The following is a 14,920-nucleotide window of genomic DNA, read 5'->3' as shown; positions in this document are numbered from 1 at the left end:
ATATGCCAATAAAAATACAATTTTTCACCTACCAGATTGGTAAGATTAAAAATGATTAATATTCTACAATATGCCAATAAAAATACAATTTTTCACCTACCAGATTGGTAAGATTAACAATGATTAATGGAAATACAGTCTCATAAACTGATAGTACAAATACATAAACTTGTACATATTCTAAGAGGGTAATTTAGCAATATGTAATATGAAACTTCACAATTTTGAGTGAGTTATTGTATTTTAGGAAATATTTCTAAAGTGATCATTAGAAGTATACATAACAATTTATACAAAGAGAATGTGATAGGAAATAGGAAAGAACCTAAATGTTTAATGATAGGGAAATTAAATTACTCATAGTTTTTAAGTATTTTTCAGTGATTGACAAATCCCAATTTTTTTGTAGAACAGTTATTAAATGAAGAAAAGCTTACATTATATGAAAAGGAGAGTGGCTAAGAGCAAGGGATCTGGAGTAAAGACTACCTAGTTCAAATTCTAGTTCTATCATCTTTTGCTACATCCAAGTCAATTTATTTAATCATTTAATCTTTCTAAATATAATTTTCTTATCTGTAAAGTGGTACCTACCTATTTTGTAGGCTTGTGTGGATTAAATTAGATATAATATACAAAGTACTTATAAAAATACATGGCATACAGTAAGTGTACTATACATTTTAGTAATTATTATAATAATTGGGATGATATTACTAAGAAAACCAAGATATAAACCAGTATATATGGTGTGCTCCCAGTTGGGCAAATTAATGAATTAGTCTTAGGTAATAATTGTGGGTTCAGATTATTGGTGTTTTTATTAACTTCATTTTGCTTTGCTATATTTTCCCCAAATTCTTTTTTTTCTTGCAAAAAGCATGTATTATTTCCATGTTCAGTAAAAAAGGAGTTATTTTAAAACTCTGTTATTAAAAAGATGAACGTCATCTTTTCCTTCTCCTAAATGACCATATATTTTTCTATTACAATATGGACTGAATACCCATTTCACAATAAAAAGGTCATTTTATGCTGTAGTTGAACACATATCATATGCAAAATGGTGTGCTCCTAATATCTTAACACTAACGAGAAAGTAACGAGAAATTTGAAAACCAGTTTTCTTGTTGGTAAAAGAGAAGCTTTCTACAGATGGCCTTTAGCCTTACCATGTAGTTACTAACCTTCATGAGAAGCAGGATATCTAAACAGACTTCATATTTTATCCCTCTGACAGAGTCTATCTTAATTTTGATCAGAAAGCATTGGATGAGAAAATAATTTAACTTATAAGAGATACAGTATTTTCTTTGAGGACCTCTGCTTAAGAACTCTGTAGGGCGATTACCACCTTTGATTACAATGCAAATATACATGTACTACTACGGCTATGAATAAACCAAAGAAAATTTGATTCCTGAACATCTGAGGAATCAAATTTGAGCAGTTTTTATGTTGCTGATATAAGTAAAAAACACTAAATTTCTTCATAAGTACTAAATATTATAAGAAATCTAAAAAGCATTCTAAGTCAAATACAAAAAGTCTGGTGGTGGTTTGTATTTGAAAAATTCCAAATATCTAACTAGTGCACTTTTCAGGTATTGATTTTGATGTTCATAAAATTAAAGATTGTTACATGTGAAAAAAGGATCTTTGCACCAAACAGTCTTTCTGGGGCAATTTACTTTCCCCCAGTGATCTCTTTCTCACCCACCTGATCTCTTGTGCCATGAGTTAGTTTCTGCCAGCAACAGTGAAGTATTTGATGGTAGGAGGGCAAATAGGGGGAGAAGAGAGATTAAGAAACTAGGAGACTGATTATTAGTGCCTGCTACTGTTATTATCTATATTCAAAATAAAAAAAGTGAAACTTCACAAAAGTTTCACTTCATTTTATGGAAACCTCCACAAAATGTTTATATAAGGAAGCTACATCTTCAGCCATATCCTTTGCAAGGTCTTGAATACATTCTGCTGTCATTCAGTGGAGAAAATAAAAAACTAAAAGAAAAAATAGATGATTTGTTAGGGAGTAGTTGCCTAATTTAGAGAATTTTCTTGTTATTAGATATAAAGGACTTGAAGCCTAGTAAGAATGAGATAGACCTTTTGCCTTCTCAGATTAACTTTCACACAAAGGAAACACGTTATAGCACTCTATTTTAAATTCAGCTTCCTCAAAATAAAATAGGAGTTCAGAGATCATAAGATAAGAAAAAGTATATTTATTATTAATAAAATGAGTTTAATAAAATTATGTTACTCTTATATTTTCCTTTATTCCACCTTATTAAAATATCGGCATAATCTGCTTTTTCTGCTTTAAAATGTTTTTCAGAATGAATGCAGGCAAAGCAAAATCTTTTAAAATTGTTCATTATTGCTAAGAAAACAAGCTAAATCTGGTCGTAATTTCTATTGTTGTGCTTTTCTCAACATGACAACCTTGATCTTTCCATAGCTGTGCTGTTAAAATAAAGTTTGGTAAGAAATTGGAAGGAAGAAGGAAAAATGTGTTAGTAAAGTTTATCCTAAAGGAATCAGTGTGAAGTACTGAGTAATAGGAATGAAAGCTAACTGCTCTCAAGTTTAAATGCACAAATCAGTATAGGGAGCACAAATAAATTTATAGTTCAGAAATAATCAAATCCGTAAGAAAAACTAATGAATATGACTAAACCTTCTGACAGCAGGAATTTTAGTGAGTTTTAATTGATAGTGAGAATAAATTAAATTCCTGAACATTTTCATTATTGGTATAAGAGTTGTACTTCGGGGGCAAAAATCTCTCACTGTGCTTGCAATTACATTCAAGAACAGCCTATTGGACATTAGTTATCTACTTACCTATACCCATTTTCTACTCTTTACTATGAAACTAATAAGCCTAGTTTTAGTTACTGTTATTTATTAATAGCTACCAATGAAATCACTAACCTGTCACTGAATGCTCTAGGCTTTAAAATTAAAGAGATTCCTATCGACATTTAAGTTACTGCCAGCATCCTTCAGCTGTGATAAGTTGTAATACAGACTTTATCATTCTTATTACATTCTTCTTCCTGAATAAATAATGCTTAGAAGAGGTGAAAGGATTTCCTTATATACAGCCACTGTGACTTTGAACATTTTCCTCAAACCATTAGATGAAAAGAACAAAATTGTGTGGTTGATATTAGAAATGCATTTTTTTTGTTAAATGTCTTTTCCCCTCTCTTGGAATGTGAGCACCTTAAGAGCCACGTTTTATGTCTTTGTGTCACATATTCCTAGCAGACTACAGATTACCCAACCTTTCTTAAAAGGTTCTGAGAGAATTTTTGTATCTAGTGAATTAACTTATCTCTCACACATATAGAATGGTACTAGCTGGTGTGCCACCCTTAGGAGAATTGAGAAGACAGTCAAACAATTTTCTGTGTTTGATAGTTTAGATGGGGAACCTCAATTGAGAAGGGATGGATAGAGTGTATAAAAATCACCCCCCCTAAAATTGTTGAATTAACAAATGAGAACTTATCACCTAACAGATTGAAAGTCTTCTTTCCTAAGTCCATCATTATTTTAACTACTGCAGTTTTAAACTGCTTTCCTAAGTCCATCATTTTTTAACTACTGCAGTTTTAAACTGCTTGAAGACAAGGGTCAATTCTCTTTAACTTTTTAAATTCTTATAAGGTCTAGGCCACTACGGTACAGAGTTCAATTTAACTCATATTGTGTTTCATCAGTGGATTAAAACACACACACAGACACACGTTCACGTGTGCGCACGCACACAGACACACACACACACACACACACACACACACACACACACACAGAGGCATGTATGTGCACATTACCTAAACCGAATTCCAAACCTACTGAATCAGAATCTCTGGGGTTCGAGCCTAGCAATCTTTTTAGAAAAATGTCTATGAGTGGTAGAAGGCTGAGTATACAGGATGAAGGATCTCTGGATTGAAATGAATTCCTGTTCCCATTGCTGGTTCCTCTAAACATGACCTGGTTCCCTCATCTTAGTCATCTTCATTTAAACCTTGCCTTTCAAATGCCTACCTCTCTCCTCTATAAAAGCCCACATTATTCCATTTCAAAGATGTGCCATCATACTGTCCTTAAGTTGGTTATTTTTTTAAAATTTAACTTTCTTCAGAATCATTTTTGTTTTCTTACAATCATCCAAGATCTGTGTCATTTTAACTTCATTCTCCCTTTTATTCATAGAATAGTCTTCTAAATTTTATCATTTGGCCTTCTGTAGCCTTTCTAAAAGTTTATAATTTCTTCTGCTCCTAATATCATATCTTGGACTTATTAATCTTTCATATTAATTATGTGGTTTCCCTGATCTCTTTGCTATTAATTTAATTTCTTCTTGGACTAAAGTATTAAATGCTATTGAATCCATTTCTAGTTATATAACCAAAAGAAAAACAGATACTTGCATGCCAATGTTTGTAGGAGCATTATTTGTAAAAGCTAAAAGCTGAAAACAACCCAGTGTCCACCAACAGGTGAACTGATAAAAAAGTTGTGGTATATACATACAGTGGAATAATGGTCAGAGTTAAAAAGGGATGAAATTCTAATACATGATATAATATAAATGAACCCTGAAAACATTTTGCTAAGTGAAATAAGCTAGACACTGAAAGACAAAACTGGTATGATTCCACTTATATGAGGTATCTAGAACAGGCAAATTTATAAAGACAGAAAGTAGATTATAGTTTACCAGGGGTTGGGGGAGGGAGGAATGGGGAGTTTTTGTTTAATGGGTACAGAGTTTCTAAATGGGATGATAAAAGTTCTAGAAACAGTGGTGACGGTTGCACAAAACTGTGAATGTGCTAATATCACTGAATTGTACACTTAAAATTGGTTAAAATGGTAAATTTTATGTTTATATTTTACCAAAATTTTAAAAAGCTACTGAAATGATTTTAACTTCCCTAGAGCATCCTTTTTCTTCACACTGACAAATTTTATCTATATTATTAAAAGAAAATAAAAACCCATCCATACTTTTTCCGTATCCCTAAATCTATCACCTCTTTAGATTTTTTTGTAAAAATAAAATTTAATATGGATACTCAGCATTTTCCACACTTCGAGCACAATGACATTGTAGATACACACATAAAACACTTCAAATCTCTATATACACATATGCATGCACACATACACACCCCACTTTACATCTCCTCCTTAGACTCTTGCAAATTTCACCAAAATTCTTCTTTGGTTCTTGTATTTGAGCTTTCATTTAAATATAAGCAAATAAGACTGTAAGTTTTACAGTGCAGATAATGTTATGTTGCAAGTTATTTTTAGATGCCAAGTACTTTGCAAATACAATAATGAGAAAATATCAATTTCAAAGGTTTACCCAACATACAAGAAAAGAGTTTAAAAGGAAGGAAGATAAATACATCTAAAGGATCTCTAAAGAACTGGTATTACGTAAACTATGAGGAAGCTGAGAAATGATATTCTCAAAGGAAAAAATAGAGCAGAGCAGAAAGCTACTTTAATCTAAACTACAAAGAATTATAAGATAATTAAATTTATTTTTAGAGATGATGCTTTTAAAGTTGCAAAAAAATCTTCTGGTCTTATTAAAAAGGATAAAATTAATAGGAGTAACTTATCCTTATAAAACCCTGGAAAATTTAGGAATAATAAATTAAGAAATAATTTTAGTATATGGAAAATTATTAAAAGATCCCATACACAAGAAATAAATGTACATAATATATGATGTGAAAGGAAAACTTAAGCAAAGATGATTATTTATAAAAAAATATATTCTTACATAAAGAGAAGAATATGGAGCTGTATAAAAAAGCAGAAAGGACAGGTGGTAGTTTAAAAAGTCAGTTTAGGAGCAAACTGGACTGGGCTGTTAGATAGCAAAGCATTTTCCTATTTCTAAGATGTTTGGACGATATGTAGGCAAAACTTTTATTGGAAATAAAATATGATCAGGGTTACAAGACAACAGAGGAGCAATGCCAGTGATTTTTTAAATGCAGCAAACTGTAAAGGAGGCAACACAGGCCAATCAGCAAGTTGCAAGTACAAAGGAGATGATTTCAATATCTCAAATAAATTAATGGGGCAGCCATAGGTAGCAAATAGGTAGAGGAGGCAACAGTCAAGCAAACTCAGTCAGCAGTCTAACTCAGTCAGCAGTCTAACTCAGTGGCACAAGGCAAGTGTAGATGATAGCAGAAATGCTAAACAATCTCACCTACTTACAGTGTTACAGGCATAGATTGGGCAGGGCAAGATCAGGCAGGCAGATGGCATAGCACTTGTTAGGCCATAGTATAGGGGAATTGTAGGGGAGCAGATAGATAATGCTGGGCAGTCTAAAATGCTAAAATAGCAGATGGATATGGCAGTACCAGGCCATTTGCTGACGGACAAAGCACCAGTGAGTGAAGAATGCAAATCATTCAGCAGATGAGTGAAGTGAGGCAAAAAGGAGAGACAAAAACCAAAGGCAATCAAGCAGGAAGACAGAACAGTAGAGAAACAATGACAGATCATCAGAAGCAGTTGGGTAGTGTAATAGCAAGCTCTCAGCAGAGGAATAAAACACCATTCAGGAAAAGATGAGATTGAGAGTGAGGCAGTCCCCTGAATTGGGTGTCTTCCATCTAGGATACAGTAATCAATAAACTGCAAATGAGAATCCACAAGAGAACAGCACACAAATGGAAATAGCAGATGGATCTGAACTCTATTGCCCAGGGATACAGAATGACCCTAGAACATAGATACATAACAATCCACAAGGAAATTAAACAGATGTGAAAAATGGATCCAAGCATTTTTTATGATGATAAAAGAAACCAAAACACTAAAAATTATTAATCTGAAAATGATTGGCTGGGATTGAAGTCTTCGCTTACCCCTTTCTGGAGCCCACAAAATGGGAATGTTGGGAATTTCTGCAGCAGAAAAACAGAAGAGAAAAGGGATTTCTGACTCCCAGTTTGAGGAAAGCAGGTCAAATTTAGGGCTGTACAAACTGGTTCAGGGAAATAAGAACCAGCCTGAACCTTCTCCCTTCCTCAGAATGAAACCATTTCTGAGTTATGGGAAAAGTTTAGGCAGCCCTCACCCCATCATTCCCCACAACCTCCCCTTTCACACTTACCTCCAGTGCAAACAGTTTCCAGCAAGGAGGTACTTGGAAAAATTCACTCATATGTTTACACCACGGCAAAATGGGAAGATGGTCAACTAATGGTACTTCCTGTGTAGGTCGGGTTTCTAATTCAGTGGGATCCCTTCCACTCTTTGTGAATGAGCAGAGGGGACAGATTACTAGAAACTACCTACCTCTTTGAAAGTGGATGAGAAAGAATCAGGGGCAGTAATATCAATCAACAAATAGTAATACCAGTAAATATCTTGGTGATCTCATCAATTGTGATGGATTTTAATTCCATTTATATGTTGATGACTCCAAAAATAATATTTCTAGCCCAGATTTTCCTACTGAAGTCTAGATACATATACCTAATATCTACTTTTTTTGGGCGGGGCTGGGGGGGTTGGGGCGGGGGCGGGGGGAAGGAGTCTTACTCTGTCACCCAGGCTGGAGTGCAGTGGTGCAATCTCAGCTCACTGCAAACCTTGCCTCTTGGGTTCAAGCAATTCGCCTGCCTCAGCCTCCCGAGTAGCTGGGATTACAGGCGTGCACCACCAGGTCTGGCTTTTTTCTTTTCTTTTCTTTTCTTTTTTACTAGAGACAGGGTTTCACCCGGTTGTCCAGGCTGGTCTTGAACTCCTGACTTTATGTGATCCACCCACCTCAACCTCCCAAAGTGCTGGGATTACAGGTGTGAGTCACCATGCCCGGCCTCATATACTTAATATCTAATTGCAATTCAGTATCTCCACTTGGATATCTAAAGGAAGTTCAGGTTTCCATAACCAAAGTAAAATTCCTGATCTTCCCCCTCAAACCTACTTTTCCCATAGTCTTCTCCATTTCAGTAAATGGAAACTACATTCTTCTAATTCCCAAGGCAAATCTTGGGTCTTATACCTGACTTCTCTCTTTATCTTATTGCATCTGTTTACCTCTCCCTTCAAAATATATCAGTAATCTACTTCTCACTACCTCCACCTCTATCATTGGTCTAAGCCACTGTCATTTTCCACCTGGATTATTTTAATAGTCTCCTAACTTGTTTTCCCATTAAAATATGTCAGTTCATGCCATGCCTCTACTCTGTTACACTAAGGGTGGCATACAGGTTCCACATGATCCATGGCTTCCTCTCTCTCCTCCTTTAGGTCTTTGTTCAAATGTCATCTTATCAATGAGGCCTTCCTTAATGGATGACCCTATTTAAAATTATAACCCTCTTTCCTACCTGGGCTACCTATCCTCCCTCCCTGGTTAATTTTTAAACATAGCGCTTACCATCTCCAGTTCTATAGAGTTTACTTGTTTTTTAATAGCTTGTATCCTCTCACTAAAATGTAAATTCCATAAAGGTAGGGACTTGTGACTTCTTAACTCATTGCTCTATCTCAACATCTTAAACAGTGCCTGGCATGTATATATCTATATCTATACCTATATCTATATCTATATCTATATCTATATCTATATCTATATCTATATCTATATCTATATCTATCTAGTAGGCTTTAAGTACATATTTGAGTCCATGAAGCATTAACTTCTTATGGGGCTTCCTCTCTCAATCTCAATTTTTCAGAGTATTCTTCTGAAAGCTCACATACTATGAGCTTTAAGATTAACAGAGCAGACGCCAGTGTACTATAGAATAGGAATGTTCTAAAACAGGGGTTGGCAAACTACAGCCCAAGGGCCAAATCCTGCCCATTTCCTGTTTTTTTTTTTTTTTTTTGTATGGCCTGCACTCTATAAGTGATCTTTGTATTTTTTAATGATTCAAGAGATAATCAAAAGAAGAATAATATTTCATGACACGTAGAAATATATGAAATCCAAATTCAGTGGCCGTAATAAAGTTTTATTAGAGCACAGCCAGGCTCATTCATTTACATCATCTGTGGCTGCCTCTGTGCTACCGGTCTGGCAGAGTTGGGTAGTTTTGACAGAGACCATATGCCTACAAAATCTAAAAAATTTACCATCTGGCCCTTTTAAATAGGTTTGCTGACCCCTGTCCTATAGTATTTTATATTTAGAAGGCAAAGAGCAATAACTAAAATTTGAGCAAAGATAGACTAGAATTTACTGTTAATATTGCTGCTACTATTGTCCATGGTAAATGTTTGGGGGAATGTATACTTATACTAGGATTTGCTTTCAATATTATTATTAGTTTTATTTTTTATTTTTGAGACAGTGTCTCGCTCTGTTACCCAGGCTGGAGTGCAGTGGCGCAATCTTGGCTCATTGCAACCTCCACCTACTGGGTACAAATGATTCTCCTGCCTCAGCCTCCCGAGTAGATGGGATTACAGGGGCATGTCATCATGCCTGGCTATTTTTTCTATTTTTAGTAGAGACGGGGTTTCACCGTGTTGGCCAGGCTGGTCTCGAACTCCTGACCTCAGGTGATCTGCCCACCTTGACCTCCCAAAGTGCTGGGATTACAGGCATGAGCTACCACAACTGGCCTGCTTTCAATATTATATACAAGTAACCTCTCATTCCTCTAAATATTATTTATTAAAGAGGGTGATATTCATTCATCTATCTACCCCACAGAGCAGCGCCATCTCGAAGGACAAAGTACAATACCAGTAAGTCTTGAAAATGGCAAAATGGGAGAGAATGAAAGAGGAAGTAAATAGGGCCCATAAATGGAAACTTATATCAAAGTATCACACAATTAACTAAACTTCTAAATACATACCCTAACAATAGTCAGAAATTAGCATGATATGAATTTCTTTTGAATCTCATCAATGGGGGTATTAAAGTGACCTCATTATAATGGGTTTGCCTATACAATGTAATCTTGAATCACAGCAGACAATTGACACATTATAATAAGACTCCATTATAGTTATACAATATTCAAAACTAACAATTATATTCTCTCTGGTTCAAATACCTCCATTTTGTAAAAAAAGAGTATTTAAAAAATTTTGTAAAACTGCATTCAGAAGCACCTCCTAATCAAAACTGACCTAGCTTTTCTTTCCATAAAGGTTTAGCCTGAGGATTATTCCACGTAAGGATATTATGTTATTTGCTGCAATACAACCTATAGAAAGGAGTGAAGAAGCTGAGGGGTAAGACACTTAAATTATCCCAGTGGCACTCATGGCTATAATGTTATCTTCATTCTTCATAGAGAAGTATAATTTATTTCTTTGTATATCAATTAGTCCTTCCAGCATGATGGACTGCTTCTTCCACATTGTTGCCTTTGGCCTTCGGTCTCGTTCATTCAGTGAAACTGACAACCATCATTTTCAAACTGTACATACAAGAGAGGTTTACTGCTTCTTTCTTCTCAGCATCTTTTGAAGGAACTTGGATCCTTTCTGCTAATTCTCATCTATGTGCCATTAATAAATATCTAAAATGGTTACTACCTCCAGTGGACATTTGTCCTTCATATTTTAGTAGCAGTTCCAAGTTTCAATATAAGAAAATAATACTGGTAAAATTATTAGAATTATTCAAATTGTTTACTTTGTTGCCTCAATCTACTTTCTGAATCCCTATCAGATGCCTTTTATGGCAGGCAGTAACAACAAAGTTACAAATATTCTGCCCTTCTAATTCAGTGATATTATTCTGAGAAGTTCATAGTACTTGACAGATATAAAGTACTCATTTGTTGTCATCTTATTACATTTTATGTGAAAGGCAACAGTAAGTCCATTTCATAGATGGATACCTAATACACAGAGAGAGAAATCCATATTCCTGATTCCAGACAGTAGTAAAGAAAGGAATATCCTGAAATCTTCATTCCTTAGACTATGTCTCTAGATAAATATACTTTTAGCATTTTACTAATATATCTGCAAAATATTTATTTATATTTTGTTGTTAATTTCTTAGCACATATTTTGCAAAACCAAAGTATTCTGGTATGCTAGCCTCTTTTCATTTTACAAGAGTAGATTTGGAAGGGTGAACTGGAAAGGTGATTTCAAGATATCATCACTGATAAATTCAAGCTAAAACAAGGATTTAACATGTCTTCTTTGATATTTCTTTTTCCTTTTCTGCAACTATACTATTGTGTACTTTAAGTTCTATCTTGTTTGATTTTTCTTTCAGAGAATAATTCTTATAATATTTATTCCACCATCATCTACTTATTTTTAAAGCTAAAGCTCTTTCTAAACATATTGTAGATAACAATAGCAAAGATTTATATAGCAAGGAAATATTGTTTTTAGTGCCTTGCTTATATTATTTACATAACGTAAGTACCCTATGAGGCAAGTACTCTTACTATCATTTTACACATAAGAAAACAGGTTTTTAAAGTTAAGTAAATTGCATGGGGTTGCACACTAATAACAGGTGGATCTAAGATTCAAACCCAAATAGTCTGTGCTCTTAACCACTATGTTATTTTTATTATTATTAATTTTATGCCCCATTACAGAGCAGAATTAAGCAGTATGTTATGCTACTCCATAAAAGGTTATATGGGCAACACTATTTTTCTAGTTAGAACTGTAATTAGAAACAGAACTTACCATCACTTGCATCTACACTTGCTTGTATGTTTATTTAACATATGATCTCTCGTATCCATAGGGCCCCATAAAAGCTGAGCACATATTCTGACATAGAGTAGGTATACAATTAGGATATATATTTAAAGGAAATTGAATATATAATTTTTATTTGTGGGTTCTTCATATAGGAAATTTTTGTTTTTGCCTTATTCTCAAAATTGCAAAAATTCTGACCTCAAGGAACAATGTACTCTTCCCTCTTTAGTGCTACTGTGTGGAATAGGACCCTTTCAACTTAACAGTCTTTTTATTTATTTATTTATTTATTTATTTATTTATTTATTTATTTTTATTTATTTATTTATTTTTATTATACTTTAAGTTTTAGGGTACATGTGCACATTGTGCAGGTTAGTTACATACGTATACATGTGCCATGCTGGTGTGCTGCACCCACTAACTCGTCATCTAGCATTAGGTATATCTCCCAATGCTATCCCTCCCCCCTCCCCCCACCCCACAACAGTCCCCAGAGTGTGATGTTCCCCTTCCTGTGTCCATGTGATCTCATTGTTCAATTCCCACCTATGAGTGAGAACATGCGGTGTTTGGTTTTTTGTTCTTGCGATAGTTTACTGAGAATGATGGTTCCCAATTTCATCCATGTCCCTACAAAGGACATGAACTCATCATTTTTTATGGCTGCATAGTATTCCATGGTGTACATATGCCACATTTTCTTAATCCAGTCTATCATTGTTGGACATTTGGGTTGGTTCCAAGTCTTTGCTATTGTGAATAATGCCGTAATAAACATACGTGTGCATGTGTCTTTATAGCAGCATGATTTATAATCCTTTGGGTATATACCCAGTAATGGGATGGCTGGGTCAAATGGTATTTCTAGTTCTAGATCCCTGAGGAATCGCCACACTGACTTCCACAATGGTTGAACTAGTTTACAGTCCCACCAACAGTGTAAAAGTGTTCCTATTTCTCCACATCCTCTCCAGCACCTGTTGTTTCCTGACTTTTTAATGATTGCCATTCTAACTGGTGTGAGATGGTATCTCATTGTGGTTTTGATTTGCATTTCTCTGATGGCCAGTGACGGTGAGCATTTTTTCATGTGTTTTCTGGCTGCATAAATGTCTTCTTTTGAGAAGTGTCTGTTCATGTCCTTCGCCCTCTTTTTGATGGGGTTGTTTGTTTTTTTCTTGTAAATTTGTTTGAGTTCATTGTAGATTCTGGATATTAGTGCTTTGTCAGATGAGTAGGTTGCGAAAATTTTCTCCCATTTTGTAGGTTGCCTGTTCACTCTGATGGTAGTTTCTTTTGCTGTGCAGAAGCTCTTTAGTTTAATTAGATCCCATTTGTCAATTTTGGCTTTTGTTGCCATTGCTTTTGGTGTTTTAGACATGAAGTCCTTGCCCATGCCTATGTCCTGAATGGTAATGCCTAGGTTTTCTTCTAGGGTTTTTATGGTTTTAGGTCTAACATTTAAGTCTTTAATCCATCTTGAATTGATTTTTGTATAAGGTGTAAGGAAGGGATCCAGTTTCAGCTTTCTACATACGGCTAGCCAGTTTTCCCAGCACCATTTATTAAATAGGGAATCCTTTCCCCATTGCTTGTTTTTCTCAGGTTTGTCAAAGATCAGATAGTTGTAGATATGCGGTGTTATTTCTGAGGGCTCTGTTCTGTTCCATTGATCTATATCTCTGTTTTGGTACCAGTACCACGCTGTTTTGGTTATTGTAGCCTTGTAGTATAGTTTGAAGTCAGGTAGTGTGATGCCTCCAGCTTTGTTCTTTTGGCTTAGGATTGACTTGGCGATGCGGGCTCTTTTTTGGTTCCATATGAACTTTAAAGTAGTTTTTTCCAATTCTGTGAAGAAAGGCATTGGTAGCTTGATGGGGATGGCATTGAATCTGTAAATTACCTTGGGCAGTATGGCCATTTTCACGATATTGATTCTTCCTACCCATGAGCATGGAATGTTCTTCCATTTGTTTGTATCCTCTTTTATTTCCTTGAGCAGTGGTTTGTAGTTCTCCTTGAAGAGGTCCTTCACATCCCTTGTAAGTTGGATTCCTAGGTATTTTATTCTGTTTGAAGCAATTGTGAATGGGAGTTCACTCACGATTTGGCTCTCTGTCTGTTGTTGGTGTATAGGAATGCTTGTGATTTTTGCACATTGATTTTGTATCCTGAGACTTTGCTGAAGTTGCTTATCAGCTTAAGGAGATTTTGGGCTGAGACAATGGGGTTTTCTAGATATACAATCATGTCATCTGCAGACACGGACAATTTGACTTCCTCTTTTCCTAATTGAATACCCTTTATTTCCTTCTCCTGCCTAATTGCCCTGGCCAGAACTTCCAACACTATGTTGAATAGGAGTGGTGAGAGAGGGCATCCCTGTCTTGTGCCAGTTTTCAAAGGGAATGCTTCCAGTTTTTGCCCATTCAGTATGATATTGGCTGTGGGTTTGTCATAGATAGCTCTTATTATTTTGAAATATGTCCCATCAATATTCAAAGCAGTGTGTAGAGGGAAATTTATAGCACTAAATGCCCACAAGAGAAAGCAGGAAAGATCCAAAATTGACACCCTCACATCACAATTAAAAGAACTAGAAAAGCAAGAGCAAACACATTCAAAAGCTAGCAGAAGGCAAGAAATAACTAAAATCAGAGCAGAACTGAAGGAAATAGAGACACAAAAAACCCTTCAAAAAATTAATGAATCCAGGAGCTGGTTTTTTGAAAGGATCAACAAAATTGATAGACCGCTAGCAAGACTAATAAAGAAAAAAAGAGAGAAGAATCAAATAGACACAATAAAAAATGAAAAAGGGGATATCACTACCGATCCCACAGAAATACAAACTACCATCAGAGAATACTACAAACACCTCTACGCAAATAAACTAGAAAATCTAGAAGAAATGGATAAATTCCTTGACACATACACTCTCCCAAGACTAAACCAGGAAGAAGTTGAATCTCTGAATAGACCAATAACAGGATCTGAAATTGTGGCAATAATCAATAGCTTACCAACCAAAAAGAGTCCAGGACCAGATGGATTCACAGCCGAATTCTACCAGAGGTACAAGGAGGAACTGGTACCATTCCTTCTGAAACTATTCCAATCAATAGAAAAAGAGGGAATCCTCCCTAACTCATTTTATGAGGCCAGCATCATTCTGATACCAAAGCCGGGCAGAGAC

At 35.2% G+C, this 14,920-nt stretch overlaps 1 protein-coding gene across 20 annotated transcripts in view; it reads right to left on the bottom strand.

The window, feature by feature from the left end:
* GPHN (gephyrin) overlaps positions 1-14,920 on the bottom strand; it is a 1,227,209-nt gene that overhangs the window by 885,707 nt on the left and 326,582 nt on the right. For 11 of the 20 annotated variants that reach the window (XM_047430879.1, XM_011536340.4, XM_017020913.3 and 8 more), the window contains exon 5: positions 6,933-6,971. The exons of the other annotated variants lie outside the window; for them this stretch is intronic. In XM_047430879.1, the coding sequence (XP_047286835.1) occupies positions 6,933-6,971 (39 nt within the window). The remainder of the gene's footprint in view (positions 1-6,932; positions 6,972-14,920) is intronic. 20 annotated transcript variants of the gene reach the window in all.

Source organism: Homo sapiens, chromosome 14 (genome assembly GCF_000001405.40).
Source record: "Homo sapiens chromosome 14, GRCh38.p14 Primary Assembly".
NCBI lineage: Eukaryota > Metazoa > Chordata > Mammalia > Primates > Hominidae > Homo > Homo sapiens.
The sequence above is the reverse complement of the archived record's forward strand: the minus strand, read 5'-3'. Positions and strand labels throughout refer to the sequence as shown.